Raw genomic sequence first — 21555 nt, 5'->3', positions numbered from 1 at the left:
CCCGGCCGGGTATACACATATTTACAATTCATTGAGCTGTACACATAAGACTTGTGTGCTTTATGAATATTATGACATGTCACTTTAGACAGAAAATAATAGCAACTAAGGAAAACTCAGAAAAATGAGCTAGGATCAGATGATAAAGGGTTTGGGCCTGTCAGAGAAGGGACTTGATCTATGTCCAGAAGGCCGCTGGGAAGCATGGGGAAATTTTGAGCAGGCAAAGGGCAGAGTCAGACTAGGGTGTCAGGAAGATCTCTTGGACTTCCTTCTTTCTCGAAAAAGCTCCTGGTTGGGCTCAGTGGCTCACTTCTGTAATCCCAGCACTTTGGGAGGCCGAGATGGGTAGATCACCTGAGGTCAGGAGTTTGAGACCAGCCTGGCCAACACGGTGAAACCCTATCCCTACTAAAAATTCTAAATTAGCCAGGTGTGGTGGCAGGCACCTGTAGTCCCAGCTACTCGGGAGCTGAGGCAGGGGAATCGTTTGAATCTGGAGGCAGAGGTTGCAGTGAGCTGAGATCGTGACCTTGCACTCCAGCCTCAGTAACAAGAGGGAAACTCCAACTCAAAAAAAAAAAAAAAAAAAAAAAAAGCTCGCATAGCACCCAGGATGTGTAATGCTTCTCACAGCTGTAAATGTGTGCAGTGTTTTAATTTCATGTTGGTTTTTTTCATCCACCCAAAATTTCCACAAGGTTAATTTGTCCTCAATTCTCCCAGAAACCAGCATGTTACTTGATTCATAGTTATCTCTCAAAATGTGTTATTCAATAACTGTATGATTGAATGTTGGGGAGCATGCAGAAATCAGACATTGTCTGCCTCTGACATTCAGAGAAGACTTCTCAGAGGAGGTATTTCCTCTTGACCTTGAAGGATCAGTTTGTTTTGAAAATTGAAGAAAGGGGCCAGGTGTGATGGCTCATTCCTATAGTCCCAGCACTTTGGGAGGCCAAGGCAGGAGGATCACCTGAAGCCAGGAGTTCAGGACCAGCCTGGGCTGTACCATGGTGAGACCCTGTGTCAACTAAAAAACAAAAGAAAGGAGGGGGGGCCGGGCGTGGTAGCTCACACCTGTAATACCAGCTGTGTGGGAGGCCGAAGTGGGTGTATCATCTGAGGTCAGGAGTTTGTGACCAGCCTAGCCAACATGGCGAAACCCCGTCTCCACTAAAAATACAAAAAAATTAGCTGGGAGTGGTGGCGCGTGCCTGCAGTCCCAGCTGCTTGGGAGGCTGAGGCAGGAGAATCGCTTGAACCCAAGAGGCAGAGGTTGCAGTGAGCCAAGATCGTGCCACTGCACCCCAGCCTGGGCAACAGAGCAAGCCTCTATCTAAAAAAAAACAAAAAGAAAAGGAAGCAGAAAAAAAAGAAAATTAGCTGGATGTGGTGGTGCGTGCCTGTAGTCCCAGCTACTTGGGAGGCTGAGGTGGGAAGATTGTTTGAGCTTGGGAGGTCCCGGCTGCCGTGAGCTGTGATCAATTGCATCACTGCAATCAGACTGGGTGACAGAGGAAGAGCCTGTCTCAAAAAGAAAAAAGAAAAGAAAAAGCCAAGATAAAGGGGGAGGGTAGAGCTTAGGTGACAACCAAATGATAGCTTAGAGCAAAGCAAGGTCAACATTGGATCAGGACTGTGAAGTGAAACCAGTGTCCTGAATCGCTGGAAACAAGAAGGTACATGTGAAATGTTGCATCCAGAAACCCTTTATCTGAAGCTGTGCACCTGCTTTGGAAATCAAGGCTGCTACTCTGTATCAAGTGGATTAGATCCTGTCAGCAAGACTCGGATGTTTCATTTTTACTGATAGAATTTCCAACAATTTATGAATTTAGAGAACAAAGTCTCTGTAAGAAACCATGTCCTTGGCCAGCGTGGTGGCTCACACCTGAAATCCCACCACTTTGGGAGGCCAAGACAGGCAGATCACCTGAGGTCAGGAGTTTGAGACCAGCCTGGCCAACATGGTGAAACCCTGTCTCTACTAAAAATACAAAAATTAGCTGGGCGTACTGGTGTGCTCCTGTAATCCCAGCTACTTGGGAGGCTGAGGCCAGAGAATCACTTGAACCCAGGAGGCAGAGGCTGCAGTGAGCAGAGATCGTGCCATTGCACTCCACCTCGGGTGACAGAGCGAGACTTCATCTCAAAAAAAAAACAAACAAAGCGTATCCTTGAGAGAAATAGTGTTTCCTGTTAACTTTGCATCCGGCTTTATCTGTGTGTGTTACTCCAGTCCAATGAGATAGCCCTTCCCTACTCCAGTTACAGAGAAGGAAGGAAAGGGCTTTTAATGCAGGTATACACCTCTGAACAGTACAGTCACTGAGTGAGGGAATACACTTTTTAGCTAGTTGTGAAGTCAAAACTGTTTATTTTTATTTTTATTTATTTATTTTGAGACAGGATCTCCCTCTGTCGTCCAGGCTGGAGTGCAATGACACAACTGTGGCTCACTGCCACCTCGACCTCCTGGGCTCAAGGGATCCTCCCACCTCAGCTTCTGGAGTAGCTGGGACTACACGTGTGTGCCACTATGCACTGCTAATTTTGTATGTTTTGTAGGGAGAGGGTTTTGCCATGTTGCCCAGGCTGGTCTCAAACCCCTGGGCTCAAGTGAGCCACCTGCCTCAGTTTCCCACAGTGCTGGGACTACAGGCATGCGTCACTGTGCCTGACTAAAACTCTTTTTTGTGTGTTTTGTTTTGTTTTGCTTTGTTTTGTTTTTTGAGACGGAGTCTTGCTCTGTCGCCAGGCTGGAGTGCAGTGGTGTGATCTCAGTTCACTGCAACCTCCGCCTCCGGGTTCAAGTGATTCTCCTGCCTCAGCCTCCTGAGTAGCTGGGACTATAGGCGTGTGACAACGCCCTGCTAATTTTGATATTTTTATTAGAGATAGGCTTTTGCCATGTTGGCCAGGATGGTCTCGATCTCTTGCCCTCATGATCCGCCCGCCTTGGCCTCCCAAAGTGCTGGGATTACAGGCGTGAGCCACCGCACCCAGCCAAACTCTTTATAATAATAAAGATGCTGAATCAAAACTATTAAGCCCACATCCAAGATGGCACCTGAGGAGTCACACCTCCAGGTATTCATGCTGCTGTGTGGTCTCTGCCCACACTCAATAGGGCTAAACAGTGTGACCAAGAGGATATTGTGGAAATGACAGAGTGTGATTTCACAGGACAGGTCAGAAAAGCCACTACAGCTTCCACCTTGTTCCCTTTCAGATCACTTCCTTTAAGGAAAGCCAGCTGCCATGTGGTGAGTGTCAGGCCTCTGAGCCCAAGCTAAGCCGTCATATCCCCTGTGACCTGCACGTACACATCCAGATGGCCGGAAGCAACTGAAGATCCACAAAAGAAGTGAAAATAGCCTTAACTGATGACATTCCACCATGGTGATTTGTTCCTGCCCCACTCTAACTGATATGATATATTCTCCCCTCCACCCCACTTAAGAAGGTACTTTGCAATATTCTCCCCACTCTTGAGAATGTAATTTGTACACCTATCCCAAACCTATAAGAACTAATGATAATCCCACCACCCTTTGCTGACTCCCTTTTCAGACTCAGCCCACCTGCACCCAGGTGAAATAAACAGCCTTGTTGCTCACACAAAGTCTGTTAGGTGGTCTCTTTGCACGGACACGTGTGACAGTGAGGACACTCAAGCAGTCATACTCTGGCGAAACACGGGTGGCAGGAAACCAAGTCCTCTGGCCAGGTGAGTTAATCATTTTGGAAAGGGATTCTTCAGCCCCAGTCAAGCTTTCAGGTGAAGATAGTCCTGACTGATGTCATGACTGCAATTTTCAGGGAGACCCTGAGCTGGAACCACCCAGCTAAGCCACCCATTAATTTCTTTTTTCTTTCACCCAGGCTGGAGTGGAGTGGTGCAATCTTGGCTCACTGCAACCTCCGCCTCCCAGGTTCAAGAGATCTCTGCTGTCTCAGCCTCCCGAGTAGCTGGGATTACAGGCATGCACCACCATGCCCAGGTGATTTTTGTATTTTTAGTAGAGATGGGGTTTCACCATGTTGGCCAAGCTGGCTAGAACTCCTGATCTCAGGTGGTCTGCCCGCCTTGGCCTCCCGAAGTGCTGGGATTACAGGTGTGAGCCACTGTGCCCGGCCTAATTTTTGTATTTTTAGTAGAGACGGGATTTCACCATGTTGGCCAGGTTGGTCTTGAACTCTTGACCTCAAGTGATCTGCCCACCTCAGCTTCCCAAAATGCTCAAATTACAGGCATGAGCCACTGCACCTGACAGAGGCTGGGTAATTTATAAACAAAAGAGGTTTGCTGGGCACAGTGGCTCACACCTGTAATCCTAGTACTTTGGATTTGCCAAGGCAGGCAGGTTACCTAACGTCAGGAGTTCAAGACAAAAAAAAATTAGCCGTGTGCAGTGGTGCACACCTGTAATCCTAGCTACTTGGGAGGCTAAGCAAAAGAATCACTTGAACCTGGGAAGCAGAGGTTGCGGTGAGGTGAGATCGTGCCACTGCACTCCACCCTGGGCCACAGAGTGAGACTTCATCTCAAAAAAAAAAAAAAAAATGAGGTTTAATTGGCTCATGGTTCTGCAGACTGTGTACAGCAAGTGTAACACAGGCTTCTGCTTCTGGGGAGGCCTCAGGAAGCTTCCAGTCATGGCAGAAGGTGAAGGGGGAACAAGCATCTCACAAGGCGGGAGAAGGAGCAGGAGAGAGTGGGGAAGGTGCTACACTGCCAAGACCAGCTCGGTTGGGGAGACCCTAACCCAGTGGCGCTAGAGGAATTAAAGACACACACACAGAAATATAGAGGTGTGGAGTGGGAAATCAGGGGTCTCACAGCCTTCAGAGCTGAGAGCCTCGAACAGAGATTTTTTGACAGTAAGCCAGTGATAAGCATTGTTTCTACAGATTATAGATTAACTGAAAGTATTCCTTATGGGAAACAAAGGGATGGGCCGAAATAAAGGGATGGGCTCTGGCTAGTTATCTGCAGCAGGAACATGTCCTGAAGGCACAGATCAGTCATGCTATTTTTTGTGGTTTAAGAACGCCTTGAAGCAGTTTTCCACCCTGGGTCGGCCAGGGATTCCTTGCCCTCATTCCAGTAAACCCACAGCCTTCCGGCATGGGCGTCATGGCCATCACAAACATGTCACAGTGCTGCAGAGATTTTGTTTATGGCCAGTTTTGGGGCCAGTTTATGGCCAGATTTTGGGGGTCTATTCCCAACACTACACATTTTCAAATGACCAGATCTCGAGAGAACTCACTGTCGTGAGGGTGATACCAAGGTGATGGTGCTAAACCATTCACGAGAAAGCCACCCCCATGAGCCAATCACCTTGTACCAGGCCCTGCCTCCAAAACTGGAAATTAAATTTCAAGATGGGATTTGGGCAGGGACTCAGATCCAAACTACATATCAGTCACCTTCTCATTTTTTTTTTTTTTTTGAGATGGAGTCTCACTGTGTCACCCAGGCTGGAGTGCAGTGGCGTGATCTTGGCTCACAGCAAACTCCGACTCCCAGGTTCATGCCATTCTCCTGCCTCAGCCTTCCGAGTAGCTGAGACTATAGGCGCCCGCCACTATACCCAGCTAATATTTTTGTATTTTTAGTAGAGACGGGGTTTCACCGTGTTAGCCAGGATGGTCTCGATCTCCTGACCTCATGATCTGCCTGCCTCGGCCTCCCAAAGTGCTGGGATTACAGGCGTGAGCCACCGCACCCGGCCCCATCAGTCACCATCTCATTTATTCCTCAGCAGAGGAAAGTTAGTAGTACCCCTTTACTGATGAAGAGACAAACAGAGGCTGGGGGAGAGTGTATTTAGGGACACTTCCTACCCACACGCTATTAGTTTCCTGAGGTCACAGGCACCATCTGGCTCCAGTGCCCAGGCCTACACTTAACTGGTGAAACTGTTACAGGATCTTTGGGGTGTTGCTTTTCTGGCCAGAAACCTCTGTGGCTGGTGGTGCCTTTGCCCTAGTTCTTGTCCTGTGTCCAGGAAGAATGAGGTATGCAGACAACGGAAGGGTGAAAAAGACAAACAGGAGCTTTATTGAGTATTACAACAGCTCAGGGGAGACCCGCAGTGGGTAGTTCTTCTCTGTAGGCAGGTTGTCCCACCAAGTGCTCAGCTCTCAGTAGAGAGGAGCCCTGGAGAGGGTAGCTCCGCTCTGTAGCTGGTCATCCTGTTGTCTCTCTGTCCTCTGCTGGCTCTGGCTGAGCCTGGGGCTTTTATGGGCCTCACAGAGGGGAAGTGCATGCTTATTGGTCCATGGCAGGATGGGTGGGCCCAGGAAAAAGCACCATGAGTTCCCCCTTCAGTCCACAGGACTGGCACCCTGGCCCCCAGGCTTCAAACCTGCCTGGCCTGAAGGTGGGGCTTCACTGGGGACCTGCCCCCTTCTGCCCAGGAGCCTGTCTGCCTCCCATGGCCATCCATGGTGCCCAGGCTGCTGGCACCAAGGGGCACCTTCACGCCAGCACCCAGCCACCCTTAGCACCCCCTCAGGTTCCCCTCTTGTGCTCCTCGGCACCCAATGTCTGGAGGAGGCCAAGGTGGCAGAGTGCTCGCACATGTTAGCACTACCCTGAGCATGTGCACACCTGGTGGACAATGTCAGCACCTGGGCTCAGCCCCAACCCCACTCTGAGATCAGAGCAAGAGAGGGAGTGGGGAGAGGCCAGGCAGTGGTAGCAGGCACCTCTGAGCCTACAAGGACAAGGGAGGCCTTTCCAGGCCTCTCAGGAGTGCAGGGATGCCTGGGTCTACAGCCCCGGTTTGGGGGCTGCAGCTGTGCCTTGGGGGGCGGGGCTCCTGCCTGCTCTGTAGAGCAGGAGGCCCACATCCACATCCATAGACACAACTGGGTGTGGCTCCTGTCTACTCCCAGCTCCCAATAGCACGGGGGTGTCTGGATTGCAGCCACGGCCTGGGCAGCTGCAGTTGCTCCTGCGGAGCTCTCACCCTCCTGATCTTGGAAGGGGCAGGGCTCCCGTGTGTCCCCAGCTCCTGCCAGCTCCATGAAGCATGGCACCTGACTGTACCCATGTGCAGCCAGGGGTGGGAGCTCTGGGTCCTTACTAGGACTGGGCTGGCATCGGGGGCCGAAGCAACATGGCTGTGAGCTCCTCCTGTGACCCTGGCACTCAGAGACGGCCTGGAGCTCCCCCTCACCTGGCACAAAACCCGGCCCAGCTCTGTGGGGGCAGCCCCCCGGGCAGCGGACTGCAGGGGTGAGGGTCTGTCCATCTCTTTTCTGTGCCCTCCCGGCAGCAGCCAGCATGATGGCCCCGGCTGTACCAGATGGCCCACTGCTGCCATTAAAACCCATGCCAAGGAAAGTCAAAGAGATAGAGAAAAACAGAGTCCTGGGCTGATGCCTGCCCTGCCCTGAAGGCTTTAATTACCAAGCATTCCATTCCTGTGCAGGCTTTTTTTTTTTTTTTTTTTTAAGAGACGGGGTCTCACTATGTTGCCCAGCCTGGTCTCAAACTCCTGGCCTCACGTGGTCCTCCTGTCTCAGCCTCCCAAAGTGCTGTGACCCCCATGCCTGGCCTTGTGGAGACATTCTGAGTTGTGTTTCTGACACTGTCCAAAGGAACAGCCTGACTACTATATTGAATTCAAGGAGAGACAATTACAGGCAGGAAGAGCAACAAGAACAAAAGCTGGGTGGCTTTCAGGAGTCCAGAAAAAGACTGATTTTTGAGGTGAGAAATCAAGTTGTTTTGCAAAAGTCACTCCAAGGCAATGAGGGTCAAACCCCAGAGAGGCCGTGACAGGCAAACGGTGGATCTTCCCACAGGTGTCTGTGCCAGGAGCTTCTGGGAATGTGGTCCTGACCCTGCACATTCCTCCCTCTCCAAAATCATTCTTTTTTTTTTGAGACTGGGTCTGTCTCTGTCACCCAGGCTGAAGTGCAGTGGTGCAATCATGACTCACGGCAGTTTCAACCTCCTGGACTCAAGCAGTCCTCCCACTTCAGCCTCCCAAGTAGGTGGGACTACAGGTGCGGGCCACCATGCCTGGATAATATTTTTATTTTTTGTAGAGACAAGGTCCTGTCATGTTACCCAGGCTGGTCTCGAAATCCTGGCCTCAAGCAAGTCTCCCACCTTGGCCTCTCGAAGTGCTGAGATTACAGGTGTGAGCCACCATGCCCGGCCTTCCCTCATCATTCTGCCCGAATTATTTTTTTTTTCTTTCTTTTTTTTTTCTTTGAGATAGAGTTTCGCTCTTGTTGCCCAGGCTGGAGTGCAATGGCACGATCTCGGCTCACCGCAACCTCCGCCTCCCAGGTTCAAGTGATTCTCCCGCCTCAGCCTCCCAAGTAGCTGGGATTACAGGCATGCGTCATTATGCCCGGCTAATTTTGTATTTTTAGTAGAGATGGGGTTTCACCATGTTGGTCAGGCTGGTCTCAAACTCCTGACCTCAGGTGATCCACCCTCCTCGGCCTCCCAAAGTGCTGGGATTACAGGCATGAGCTGCCATGCCCAGCCCTGCCCAAATTCTTTTCTAGTGACCCTTTGATACTGGGTTCTCCAGCTTCTGCCAAACCACTACCACGAAGATGTAAGATGTCTTTATTTATTCGGGGATACATCAGCGTTTGTCTTGGGGGAAGGTGACTCCAATGGCCTTCCTCACCTCTTCAAGGATGTCAGCCAGGAGCTCACTTTCCGACAGGGGAATCACAGGACTTTCCTTCATACCTGTGGGGAGAGTGTAGTTAGGGACCCCTCCTACCCACGCGCCCAAGACCCAAAGAACTACAATTCCCAGAATTCCATGTGGCACAATATACATGGTTCAGGCAGATGGATGCTGCAGGGGTTCCTGAGAGATATAGTTCTTTTTTTGGAGTGAGAGTCTTGTTCCGTTGCCCAGGCTGGAGTGCAGTGGTGCAATCTCGGCTCACTGCAACCTCCTGGGAGATGTAGTTCTAAACAGCAGGGTGACAGAGCAGGTGGGGAGGGGCCCAACATCCCCCTACCAGGCCTGGCGCCTGCCCCGCATCCATATCCTTACCCTTGCGTAGGCACTCCCAGACGTGCTTGGCCTCATAACTCATGCCTGCCCCGTTGTCAAAATTGCAGTCCTTTGGGACTGGGGGCAGCGGGAACTCCTTATGCTCCCCCTTCACCACCAGCTCGGTCGGGCACCAGCAGGGGTTGAGGAGCTGGAGGGAGAGAAGAAGTGGCACTGCTGCCTTCACCAACGGTGCTGCTGAGGCTGCCTCCAGGAACATGCCAGGTGGTGCACAGGGGCCTCCCTCTTGAACCTGGTGGCTAAGAGCTTGCCCTGTCCATCCCCGGGGAGCTTTGGACCCTCCTTCATTTCTAGTTGCTAGAAGTTTGTTCCTTAGCAACGCTGATGTGACACAAAAATCCTGTCTGTCTCCCCAGGAGCAAACCTCTCCCTAACCTTAGGAGCTTAGAAACAAGGTGTTCTTAAGGTCTAGAGAGGAGGGCTTATCTTTGTGTGTCTGTGAACCATGTTTTCTTCTTATTTATTTTCTTTCTTTCTTTCTTTCTTTTTTTTGAGATGGAGTCTCGCTCTGTCGCCCAGGCTGGAGTGCAGTGGATCAATCTCGGTTCACTGCAACCTCCACCTCCTGGGTTCAAGTGATTTTTCTGCCTCAGCCTCCCGAGTAGCTGGGATTACAGGTGCCCACTACCATGCCTGACTAATTTTTTTTTTTTTTTTTGTGAGACGGAGTTTCGCTCTTGTTGCCCAGCCTGGAGTGCAATGGCTCGATCTCGGGTCACTGCAACCTCCGCCTCTCGGGTTCAGGCAATTCTCCTGCCTCAGCCTCCTGAGTAGCTGGGATTACAGGCATGCACCACCACACTTGGCTAATTTTTGCATTTTTAGTAGAGACAGGGTTTCATCATGTTGGTCAGGCTGGTCACAAATACCTGACTTCAGGTGATCCACCCGCTCTGGGCTGCCAAAGTGCTGGGATTACAGGTGTGAGCCACCGCGCCCAGCCTGTATGTTTTTTTTAGTAGAGACGGGGTTTCACCATGTTGGCCAGGCCAGTCTTGAATTCCTGAGCTCAAGTGATCTGCCTGCCTTGGCCTCCCAATCACGCTGGGATTACAGGTGTAAGTCACCATGCCTGGCTATAAAATAGGGTTTTTTTTTTTTCTAGCAACAAGGCCCCAGGAAGACCAGTTAAGCTGACCTTTGGTAACACCCAGATCCTCCCCCGGATGCACTTCCGAAATTCACAACTGCCCACTAAGCATGGTTGATAATAACTGGCTTCTCCTCAGGACTAAAGATAGATATTTGAGACAGGATCTCACTCTGTCACTCAGGCTGGAGTCCAGTGGCACAATCACAGCTCACTGCAGCCTCGACCTCCAGGGCTCAAGTGATCCACCAGCTTCAGCCTCCAAAGTGCTGGGATTATAGGTGTGACCACCGTGCCGGCCAGGCCCAAGGATACATATATATATATATATTTTTTTTTTTGAGATGGAGTTTTGCTCTTATCACCCAGGCTGGAATGTAATGGCGTAATCTCAACTCACTGCAACCTCCATCTTCCGGATTCAAGCAATTCTCCTGCCTCAGCCTCCCTAGTAGCTGGGATTACAGGCGCCCACCACCACACCCAGCTAATTTTTGTATTTTTAGTAGAGATGGCGTTTCACCATGTTGTCCAGGCTGGTCTGGAACTCCTGACCTCAGGTGATCTGCCTGCCTTGGCCTCCCAAAGTGCTGGGATTACAGACGTGAGCCACCGTGCCAGCCAGGCCCAAGAATATTTGACAGAGCAATAGGTTCATCCTAAGTAAGGAGAGCCTAGAGGCCCAGAACCCACCTCTTGGCTTGGTTAAGGAGGAACTCTTTAGCAATGATGTGAAATTGGCTGGTTAAGCTCTCATCTAGCTCCAGAGGCCATTTGTCCCCCTCCTATTTTAGGGGCACGATCCCCAGCGCTTGGGCCCGCCATGCCTCACCTGTACCATGCCCTTGGTGCCGCTCACGGAGGCCGTGTTGGAGAGCTGCACGGTGATGCTGCAGGTGAAGCTGCCATGGACCTCCCCTGGGTACTGCAGGAGCACCGTGACAGTGTCATCCACACCTGGAGGGAAGTCCTGGGTCAGGGCAGGGTCTCTCAGGGCAGAGTCTCTGAGACTGCACAGGCCCCAAATCCTGCCTGTGGAACCTTGGGCAAGAGACTTCACTTCTTGCATGGCAAGGCAAAAGAATGAAGTGCTGGCTGGTCGCGGTGGCTCACGCCTGTAATCCCAGCACTTTGGGAGGCTGAGGTGGGCAGATCGTGGGGTCATGAGATCAAGACCATCCTGGCTAACACGGTGAAACCCTGTCTCTACTAAAGATACAAAAAATTAGCCAGGCGTGGTGTAGTCCTGTCGTCCCAGCTACTCGGGAGGCTGAGGCAGGAGAATGGCGTGAACGTGGGAGGCGGAGCTTGAAGTGAGCCGAGATGGCACCACTGCACTCCAGCCTGGGCGACAGAGCGAGACTCCATCACACACACACACACACACACACACACACACACACACACACACGAAGTACAGTCTTGGCTGTGCACAGTGACTCACACCTATAATCTCAGCACTTTGGGAGGTGGAGGCAGGAGGATCCCTTGAGTCCAGGAGTTCAAGACCAGCCTGGGCAACATAGTGAGACCTTGTCTCTACAAAAAATAAAAAATTTAGTTGGGTGTGGTGGCTTGTGCCTGTGATCCTAGCTACTCAGGAGGCTGAGGTGGAGGATCCCTGGAGCCTGGGAGGTCAAGGTTGCAGTGAGCAATGATTGTGCCACTGCACTCAGCCTAAGTGACAGAGTGAGACCCCGTCTCAAAAAAAAAAAAAAAAAGCCGGTGGTTCATGCCTGTAATCCCCAGCACTTTGGGAGGCCAAATGTGTGTATTGCTTGAGCCCAGGAGGTCGAGACCAGCCTGGGCAACATGGGGAAACTCCATCTCTACAAAAAACAAACAAACATAGCCAGGCGTGGTGGCCCACATCTGTATGCCCAGCTACTTGGGGGTCTTACGGAGGAGAATCGCTTGAATTTAGGAGGTTGACGCTGCAGTGTGCCAAGATCACACCACTATATTCTACCCTGGGTGGCAAAGTGAGATACTATCTAAAAAAAAACAAAAATTACAGTCTATTTGCCCATCTCTGAAAACTGAGCTGGCCATGTAACTTGCTTTGGCCAATGGGCCAGTAGCAAATATGGTGTAATTAGAGGCCTGAAAAGTGCTTGCACATCAGGAATTCTCACACCACGATATGAATGGTATCTAGCCAGCTGGAGAGGCCAGGTGGAGGAGAATCAAGGCTTCCCAGACAGTTGCCTGCCACCTGTAAGATATAAATGAAGCCTACCAGACTGTCCAGTCCCAGCTGAACAGCCAACTGACTGCAGCTGCAGGAATAAGACCAGCAGAAGAACCATCAAGCAGAGCCCAGCCCCAATTTGCCAATGCACAGAATCACAAGCTAATAAATGATTGCTATTTGAAGTCACTAAGTTTTTTTTTTTTTTTGAGACAGGGTCTGGCTTGCCGGGGGCGGTGGCCACACCTGTAATCCCAGCTCTCGGGGAGGCAGAGGCGGGAGGATAGCTTGAGCCCAGGAGTTCGAGACCTGCCTGGGCAATATAGCGAGACTCTGTTCTCCACAAAAAGGAGACAGGGTCTGGCTCTGTTCCCCAGGCTGGAATGCAGTGGCACCATCTCAGTTCACTGCCACCTCTGCCTCCCAGGCTCAATTGATCCTCCCACCTCACCTTCCAGAGTAGCCGGACTATAGGTGCACACCACCACGCCCAACTAATTTTTTTTGCACTTTTCGTAGAGACAGGGTTTTACCATGTTGGCCAGGGTGGTCTTGAACTCCTGGCCTCAAGTGATCCGCGCACCTCAGCCTCCCAAAGTGCTGGGATTACAGGCGTGAGCCACCATGCCCAGCCTGAAGTCACTAAGTTTTGGGGTAGTGTTATGTTTTTTTTTTTTTGCGGCTGAATGTAACTTTAATGAAGCATGAACTGCCTCTTGCTCCTTGGGGTTAAAGGTCAAAGATGAAGGGCATCACATCTGGGTGGCTCAGGCACTCTTGGATACTTTCCAGCTGAGTGGAAGCCAAGGCAAGGGCCTCTTCTGCAAAGTGGGGCAGCTTTTTTTTTTTTTGAGATGGAGTCTCACTCTGTCGCCCAGGCTAGAGTACAGTGACGCCATCTCAGCTCACTGCAACCTCCGCCCCCTGGGTTCAAGTGATTCTCCTGCCTCAGCCTCCCAGATAGCTGGGATTACAGGTGCCTGCCGCAATGCCTAGCTAATTTTTGTATTTTTAGTAGAGATGGGGTTTCATCATATTGGCCAGGGTGGTCTCCAACTCCTGACCTCAGGTGATCTGGCCACCTCGGCCTCCCAAAGTGCTGGAATTACAGGCGTGAGCCACCACGCCTGGCCAAGTGGGGTAGTCTTTTTTGTAGCAAAGATTCACTGAGACAACTTCAAAAAATAATAATTTTATATTTATTAACTGCCATTTGCCTCAGCAGTTACTTCATTAACTCCCATGACAACCCTATTAGTGACACTTTACCAGTAAAGTAATTAAGATTCAGAGATGTTAAGTCTGCTGGCTAAGATCACACAGCAAAGTCCCAGGAGAGTGCCCACCTGCAGTCTTGACTCTGATCCTCTCTGGCTTCATGGAAAGTTGTTCCTCTAGGTGTCTGATCTAATTCTCATTGACTTGGAGACTTGTCCTCAGTTCAGTGCTCCCAGAGAGACAGAATCATTCCCATCACCATGAAATATTCCAGGATAGATGGTACCTGTTTCATGACGCCTTCCCACGACAGAAATCTTCTCTGGCTTCTGCCCTCCAAAGACCATGGAGGTGAACTGGACACAGTAGATGCCGATGTCCAGCAGGGCCCCCCCAGCCTGGGCCCGGTCTACGGCCCGGGGAACGTGGATGAGATTCTTCCCAAATTCTGCCCGAGCCACCCGGAGGTCTCCTAGAGTTCCCTGGGCCAAAACAGACCTCAGAGCCTCGGAGGCAGGAAAGAAGCGGGTCCAGATGGCCTGCAGACCACAAGGAAAGGAGTTAACCAACCAGTTCTAATCCCTTCTGGGGTCCCAATCATAGGGGGATACCCACTGCAACCCAGTCTCCAAACACAGCCCATCAGTCCCCAGGTTGTATCCCTCTTGCTCCTGACCCTCTTGACTTTTCTTCTTTTTCTTTTTTTTTTGAATAGAGATAGGGTCTCACTATGTCGCCCAGGCTGGTCTCGAACTCCTGGGCTCAAGCAGTCCTCCCACCTCAGCCTCCCAAAGTGCTGAGATTACAGGCATGAGCCACCGTGCCCTATTGACTTTTGTTCTTTTTCATCTGGACCATTGCCCCAGTCTCCCCATGTTATGGGATGAATTGTGTCTCTCTCCCTCTCGCTTCTGCCCTGCCAAACACAATTCACGTGTTGAAGCCTTAACTCCCTAGTACCTCTGAAAGCAACTGTTGTGGCCACAGGGTTTTCAGAGAGATAATTATGTTAAAATAAGGTCAAGGCTGGGCACGGTGGCTCACGCCTGTAATCCCAGCACTTTGCGAGTCCACAGTGGGCAGATCACGAGGTCAGGAGTTCGAGACCAGCCTAGCCAAGAGACCAGCCTGGCCAACACGGTGAAACCCCGTCTCTATTAAAAATACAAAAAATTTTAGCTGGGCGTGATGGCGCACGCCTGTAGTCCCAGCTACTCGGGAAGCTGAGGCAGGAGAATTGCTTGAACCCGGGAGGTGGAGGTTGCAGTGAGCTGAAGATCGCACCGTTGCACTCCAGCCTGGGCGACAGAGCGAGACTCCAACTCAAAAAAAAAAAAAAAAATGAGGTCATTAGGGTGGGCCCTTATCCAATATGACAATATGACTGGTGTCCTTATAAGAAGAGATTAGATGTAGGTATAGAGCATGCAGGCCAGTGGGTTTAAGAGTTACGTGTGCATCTCCTAGTGAAACTCCTTAAAGGAGGCATATAGATACAGAAGGTAGAAATAAAACTCTTTGTTCATAGATGACATCATCTATGTAGAAAAATGCAAAATGACAACAACAAAAAAAAACTCCTGGAACTGGGGGCTGGGCGCTGTGGCTCATGCCTGTAACCCCAGCGCTTTGGGAGGCCAAGGCGGGCGGATCACCTGAGGTCAGAAGTTCCAGACCAGCCTGGACAACATAGCAAAACCCCGTCTCTACTACAAATACAAAAATTAGCCGGGCGTGGTGGTGCATGCCTGTAATCTCAGCTACTCGGGAGGCTGAGGCAGGAGAATCACTTAAAGCCGGGCAGCGGAGGTTGCAGTGAGCCGAGATCACGCCATTGCACTCCAGCCTGGCGACAGAGCAAGACTCTGTCTCAAAAACAACAACAATGACAACAAAAACCAGAGTTCTACCTCTTGGAGCACCCAGTCTAGAGAGACAGAGAACAGGCAACCAAGGGATGAACAAAGGAATACCAAGGACACAAATAAAATGGAGGGTCCTTCACGCAGGACAGCCGGGACGGTGACACCCTGAGGAGGTGACATTCCAGGGGAGACGGAAGCTCCGTGGACTAGGCAAAGAGCCCAGAGAAAGAATGTCACGGGAGAGCCGGGAGAATGGGCAAAGGTCCCAAGGCTGCACTCCAGCAATTTCTTTTTTTTTTTTTTTTTTTTTTAAAGACAGTCTCGCTCTTGTCGTCCAGGCTGGAGTGCAGTGTCGGGATCTTAGCTCACTGCAACCTCCGCCTCCCGGGTTCACGCCATTCTCCTGCCTCAGCCTCCCGAGTAGCTGGGACTACAGGCGCCCGCCACCACGCCCGGCTAATTTTTTGTATTTTTAGTAGAGGCGGGGTTTCACTGTGTTAGACAGGATGGTCTCGATCTCCTGACGTCGTGATCCGCCCGCCTCTGCCTCTCGAAGTGCTGGGATTACAGGCGTGAGCCACCGCGCCCGGCCAATTTTTGTACTTTTTTAGTAGAGACGGAGTTTCGCCATGTTGGCCAGGCTGGTCTTGAACTCCTGACCTCAGGTGATCTGCCCGCCTCGGCCTCCCAAAGTGCTGGGATTACAGGCGTGAGCCACCGCATCTGGCCCACACCAGCAATTTCTAAAAATGCTGACGCAAGAGTGTCAGGGCTCACGGGGGAAGGGCGGGGCAGGACGGATGTGGCCGAGGTCCGCCCGGGCTCGGAGCAGTCGAGAGGAGCGTGAACACAGGCCTGAGGGCACTGGGGAGCCGGGGGCAGGCTCTGCGCAGGCTCTGAGCCTGGGTGTTGTGGCAGTAGGCTACTGGTGCCCCCAAAGATATCCACGACCTGATGATCCCCGGAGTCTGTGAATGTGTGACTTTACAAGGCTAAGGGGTCCTGGCGGATAGGATTACATGAAAGACCTTGAGGTAGGGGCCGGGCGCGGTGGCTCACGCCTGTAATCCCAGCACTTTGGGAGGCCGCGGCAGGAGGATCACTTGCAGTCATGAGTTTGAGACCAGCCTGGCCAACATGGTGAAACCCCGTCTCTACTAAAAATACAAAAATTAGCTGGGCATGGTGGCGGGCGCCTGTAGTCCCAGCTACTTGGGAGGCTGAGGCAGGAGAATCGCTTTAACCTGGGAGGTGGAGGTTGCAGTGAGCCGAGATCGCGCCACTGCACTGCAGGTTTGTAGGGGGTTCCTTGGTCCTTTCAACCTCTACCTGGAACCCCACCCAAACTAAGCCATTGCCATTCTATGCCACTTTCACTCTTGGCATCTTTTTCTTGTTTTTTTTTTTGTTTGTTTTTTTTCTTGTTTGAGACGGAGTCTCACTGTGTTGCCCAGGCTGGAGTGCAGTGGCGCAATCTTGGCTGACTGCAAGCTCCGCCTCCCGGGTTCACGCCATTCTCCTGCCTCAGCCTCCCAAGTAGCTGGGACTACAGGCGCCCGCCACCACGCCCAGCTAATTTTTTGTATTTTTAGAAGAGATGGGGTTTCACCATGTTAGCCAGGACGGTCTCGATCTCCTGACCCCGTGCTCCGCCCGCCTCGGCCTCCCAAAGTGCTGGGATTACAGGCATGAGCCACCGCGCCCGGCCGGCATCTTTTTCTTAAAGACTGACAAAAGATCCAAGCAATTTCAGTAAGCCTTGCCGTGTTTGCTAAGGGCCAAAAGCAATGGCTTTCACGGTAATAGATGCTGCCAAGGAGATTCAGATACATCCTGGCAAATGCACTGACCCCGTCCGCGCACTGGCAACCATATTTAATGGCAAGCACTTTTACGCTGGATATTGGAAGGGCTCCTCTGCCCTCACCTCCATAAGGAAGAGGGCTCGGGATCGGGCCTCCGCGACCATCTCGCGAACTTCCGCCGCGTTCACGCCCGTGGGCTTCTCGCACAGAACGGCCTTGCCCGCCGCCAAGCACAGCATCACCGCCGCCTTGTGCTGGGGGTGCTGGGTGCCAATGTAGGCCACCTCTAGGGTGGGAGTAGGTCAAGAGGTCAGCAGCCCCGCCCACCCAGACAGCCGAGCTCCGCCCACAACTTCGAGGCCCCGCCCTAGCACCCAGGGACCAGGTGGTCGGTCACACCCCTGTCTCCCTTAGGGAGCTGTCCTTAGGAAGGGGCTGTTACCTCTCGCCATTCTCGCTCTCTTTTTTAAAATTTTTAATTAATTAATTAATTTTTTTTTTGGAGGCGGAGTCTCACTCTTCGCCCAGGCTGGAGTGCAGTGGCGCGATCTCGGCTCACTGCAAGCTCCACCTCCCAGGTTCACGCCATTCTCCTGCCTCAGCCTCCCGAGTAGCTGGGACTACAGGCGCCCGCCACCATGCCCGGCTAATTTTTTGTATTTTTAGTGGAGATGCGGTTTCACCGTATTAGCCAGGATGGTCTCCATCTCCGGACCTCATGATCTGCCCGCCTTGGCCTCCCAAAGTGCTAGGATTACAGGCGTCAGCCACCGCGCCCGGCCTATTTATTTATTTCTAAGACCAAGTCTCACTCTGTCGCCCAGGCTGGAGTGCAGTGGCGCGATCTTGGCTCACTTCAACCTCTGCTTCCCGGATTCAAGTGATTCTCCTGCCTCAGCCTCCCCAGTAGCTGGGATTACAGGTGCGTGCCACCATACCTGGCTAATTTATTTTTATTGTTATTTTTTGTAGAGATTGGGTCTTGCTACGTTGCCGAGGCTGGTCTCGAACGCTAAGTGTAGTTTAACACCTACTAGACAGCCAGTCCCAGACCAAGCCCGTTTTATAGTTCTCCTCCCAGCCAAAGGTCTTTATGGAACCCAAAGGGATTGGACCATCCTGAGGAGCCTTGCATCTCCCAGGGGGCAGCCAGGGGGCACCGCTCCAGGGGCGGCGGCCAGCACCCCCATCGCCCTCGCCACTCACCCACGCTCGGGTCCTTGGCCAGCTCCTCATAGGAGCCGTAGGCCTTGGGGATGTCGTGTTTCTGTGCAAACTCCTTCGCACGGCTCAGATCGCGGGCCGCCACCGCCACCACCTGGAGGGGCACAAGAATCGGATTTGAGGGGCTGAGGCAGGCGTGGAAACTGGGTGGAAGGGAGGCAAAGGAGGAGGCTCTGGCCAGGGGAAGGGGAGACGTGGTCCTGGGGGAAGAGATGACGGGGGCTGGACATTTGGGCCCTGGGAAAGAGAGATCTGGGGGAAAGCCGTTATTAAATCCCCCAATATTGAAATTATCTTCATAGTAGCTTACATCAAGGCCTTTCCAAACCTCAAGACACTCAGGTTTGTGTGGGGAAAAGAAAGAGAGATCAGATTGTTACTGTGTCTATGTAGAAAAGGAATCTGTATCATGAATAAGTTCAAGGAAAGGTGCTGTGACCGGATGTGCACGTAGGCTAGATTTATGTTTCACTTTACACAAACATCTCAGTGTAGCAAAGAGTAACAGAGCAGTATCACTGCCAGCATATCTCGCCTCCAGCCACAGGTAGGTTTTCTCCTATCTCAGAATAGAAGGAATGGGAATGGTCCGCTTTACACTGAGACAGTCCATTCCCAGGGAGAGCAGGAGACAGAAGCCTTCCTCTTATCTCAACTGCAGAGAGGCCTCCCTCTTTCACTACTCCTCCTCAGCACAGACCCTTTACTGGTGTCGGGCTAGGGGATGTAAGGTCTTCCTTTCCCACGAGGCCATATCTCAGGCTTTCTCAGTGGGGGGAAACCCTGGACAATACCCAGGCTTTCTTGGGCAGAGGTCCCTGCGGCTTTCCGCAGTGCAATGTGCCCCTGGTTAATAGAGAATGGAGAATGGCGATGACTTTTACCAAGCATACTGCCTGCAAACATATTGTTAACAAGGCACATCCTGCAAAGCCCTAAATCCATTAAACTTTGATTCAATACAGGACATGTTTCTGTGAGCACACGGTTGGGGCTAAAGTTACAGGTTAATAGCATCTCAAAGCAGAAACAATTTTTCTTAGTACAGTTCAAAATGGAGTTTCTTATGTCTTCATTTTCTACGTAGACACAGTAACAATCTGATCTTTCTTTTCCCCACAGGTTTGCAGAACAGAGATGGAGAAGGAGGTAGCAAGGAAACAGACGTTTCACTGCAATGACGACCCACTCACTAGTCCTGAACCCTAAACTCCCTCCTCCTTTAGACTCTGGAGTCCCGCCCCCCGCCTCCTCTTCCCCAGAATCCGGAGGGCGGGCAGACCTGGTGCTCAGAGCGAGGCAGCGTCTGCAGCACGGCTGTGAAGTCGCTGGAGATGAGGCCGACAGACACGATGCCCCAGCGCAGCGCCATGGTTGCGATGCGGAGCCCTCGGCACCTTCGGTCCCTCCAGGCGCGAATTAAGTACCTGACGCCCCGCCCACCCCGGGGGCGGGTCCCCATCCTCCGCCCGTATTGCGCCTACGCCGATTCTCGTTGGCTCCAGTCGGCAGAGCGGTCATTTAGTTCTAGCTTCCCCGCTGGGCGAATGCACCGTTTAGCTCCGCCTTACAGAGGGAACCACACCTTGACGTCGCTTCTACAGATCTCTTACCTATGACTTTAGGCTCGTCGGATACGCGGGGTAAGGACAGCGTGGGGAGGAGAGGTTTGCTTTCTTGCCAACACCAATCCTTGAGAGTTAGATTTAATGTCTTGCCCTCTGGACTTTGTGGCAAAACTTTGCCCTGACTTTTTTGCTCTCAAAGCCACGCATCATTAGGGGTTGTTCACAGAGAGAGAGAGGATTGTAACAGCAAACTTAATAATTATTACTAATATGTATAGAGCACCTGTAGACCAGCTCCTCAGCTCTGCGCTTTACCTTCTTCGTTCCTAATTTCTCCCCGCAGACCTGGGAAGTAGCTTCTATTGTCCCCAGTTCACAAAGGGGGAAACAGACTCCAAGATCCCTGGTCATTTTTTGGAGGTCTCACAGTCAGGAGGTAAAGACCTGTGAATTGGCTGCTTCCAGAAGCTATAGTTTTAGAAACCAGGCTGCTTTGCTTGTTAGGAGCCCCAGAGCCTGGCCGACTGGTTTCAAAACCCTCCTTGCCCCTTCTTGGCTGTATTGCTTTTGGACAAGAGGTCGCCCTCTCTGGTCCTCACTTTTCTATTCTGGAAAGCAGAGATCATGATAACATCTACCTACATAGGGTTGTGAGGAGGATTCATTGAGCTCTATGGTCTATTATGTAAAATATACTGTATTATTATAATTATTATTGATATAGGGTCTCGCTCTGTCGCCCAGGAAGGAGTGCAGTGGCACAATCATAGCTCACTGCAGCCTCAAATTCCTTAGCTCAAGGAATTAGCTCCTGCCTTAGCCACCCTAGTACCTGGGACTACAGTAGCTGGGACCCAAAGTAGCTACTGGCTACTACACCTGGCTAATTATTTTGTTTTATTTATTAATTATTTTAGAGATAGGGTCTCACTCTGTTACCTAGCTGGACTGCAGTGGCGTGATAATAGCTCACAGCAGCCTTGTACTCCTGGGCTCAAGCTATCTTCCCGCCTCAGCCTCCTGAGTAGCTGGGAGTATAGGCATGTGCCCCACTTACCGCTATTTGTTTGTTTGTTTGTTTGAGACGGAGTCTCACTCTATCCCCAGGCTGGAGTGCAGTGGTGTGATCTCAGCTCACTGCAACCTCCGCCTCCCTGGTTCAAGTGATTCTCCTGCCTCAGCCTCCTGAGTAGCTGGGACCACAGGCGCCCTCCACCATGCCCAGCTAATTTTTTTTATTTTTAGTGGAGACAGGGTTTCACCATGTTGGCCAGGATGGTCTCGATCTCCTGACCTTGCGATTTGCCTGCCTTGGCCTCCCAAAGTGCTGGGATTACAAGCATGAGCCACTGCACCCAGCCTGCTAATTTTTGTTGCTGTTGTTGTTTGTTTTTTGTTTTTGAGACGAAGTCTCGCTCTGTCATCCAGGCTGGGGTGATCATGCAGTGGCATAATCTTGGCTCACTGCAACCTCCACCTCCCAGTTTCAAGCAATTCTCCTACCTCAGCCTCCCGAGTAG

At 51.5% G+C, this 21555-nt stretch overlaps 1 protein-coding gene across 4 annotated transcripts, besides 3 other annotated features; it reads right to left on the bottom strand.

Annotated features, from left to right (window-relative positions):
* Positions 3215–3509: an enhancer, noted in NCBI's record as "tiled region #12688; HepG2 Activating non-DNase unmatched - State 7:EnhWF, and K562 Activating DNase matched - State 6:EnhF". NCBI's record gives its function as "activates a minimal TATA promoter and a strong SV40 promoter by Sharpr-MPRA in HepG2 cells, with weaker activity in K562 cells {active_cell/tissue: HepG2 | K562}" and the evidence as "EXISTENCE:reporter gene assay evidence [ECO:0000049][PMID:27701403]".
* Positions 8592–20766, bottom strand: DHDH (dihydrodiol dehydrogenase). 4 transcript variants are annotated; one of them, XM_017026598.2, is made up of 7 exons: positions 20081–20766; positions 18450–18561; positions 17366–17529; positions 13860–14112; positions 10997–11121; positions 9054–9204; positions 8592–8737 (listed from the first exon to the last, which is right to left on the bottom strand). In XM_017026598.2, exons 3-7 carry the CDS (start codon positions 17480–17482, stop codon positions 8628–8630), a joined length of 756 nt encoding a protein of 251 aa, XP_016882087.1. In that variant the 5' UTR covers positions 17483–17529; positions 18450–18561; positions 20081–20766; the 3' UTR covers positions 8592–8627. The 4 variants fall into 4 exon arrangements, with proteins under 4 accessions (XP_016882087.1, NP_055290.1, XP_005258805.1 ...); NM_014475.4 differs by lacking the exon at positions 20081–20766 and adding an exon at positions 19750–19862; XM_005258748.5 differs by lacking the exon at positions 17366–17529.
* Positions 17948–18507: an enhancer, noted in NCBI's record as "H3K27ac-H3K4me1 hESC enhancer chr19:49438311-49438870 (GRCh37/hg19 assembly coordinates)". NCBI's record gives its function as "activates a minimal SCP1, AML or CMV promoter by ChIP-STARR-seq in primed H9 embryonic stem cells {active_cell/tissue: H9 hESC(primed)}" and the evidence as "EXISTENCE:reporter gene assay evidence [ECO:0000049][PMID:30033119]".
* Positions 19788–20289: an enhancer, noted in NCBI's record as "H3K4me1 hESC enhancer chr19:49436529-49437030 (GRCh37/hg19 assembly coordinates)". NCBI's record gives its function as "activates a minimal SCP1, AML or CMV promoter by ChIP-STARR-seq in naive H9 embryonic stem cells {active_cell/tissue: H9 hESC(naive)}" and the evidence as "EXISTENCE:reporter gene assay evidence [ECO:0000049][PMID:30033119]".

The sequence above is a fragment of the Homo sapiens genome, chromosome 19 (genome assembly GCF_000001405.40).
Source record: "Homo sapiens chromosome 19, GRCh38.p14 Primary Assembly".
NCBI classification, from domain to species: domain Eukaryota; kingdom Metazoa; phylum Chordata; class Mammalia; order Primates; family Hominidae; genus Homo; species Homo sapiens.
The sequence above is the reverse complement of the archived record's forward strand: the minus strand, read 5'-3'. Positions and strand labels throughout refer to the sequence as shown.

Coding starts and splice junctions, on each gene's coding strand:
- DHDH (NM_014475.4), bottom strand. CDS start 19,839: ATGGCGCTGCGCTGGGGCATCGTGTCTGTCGGCCTCATCTCCAGCGAC. Junction 18,562..19,749: donor TGCCTCGCTCTGAGCACCAG/GTCTGCCCGCCC, acceptor GTGCCCCTCCAG/GTGGTGGCGGTGGCGGCCCG. Junction 17,530..18,449: donor GGCCAAGGACCCGAGCGTGG/GTGAGTGGCGAG, acceptor CTCCCACCCTAG/AGGTGGCCTACATTGGCACC.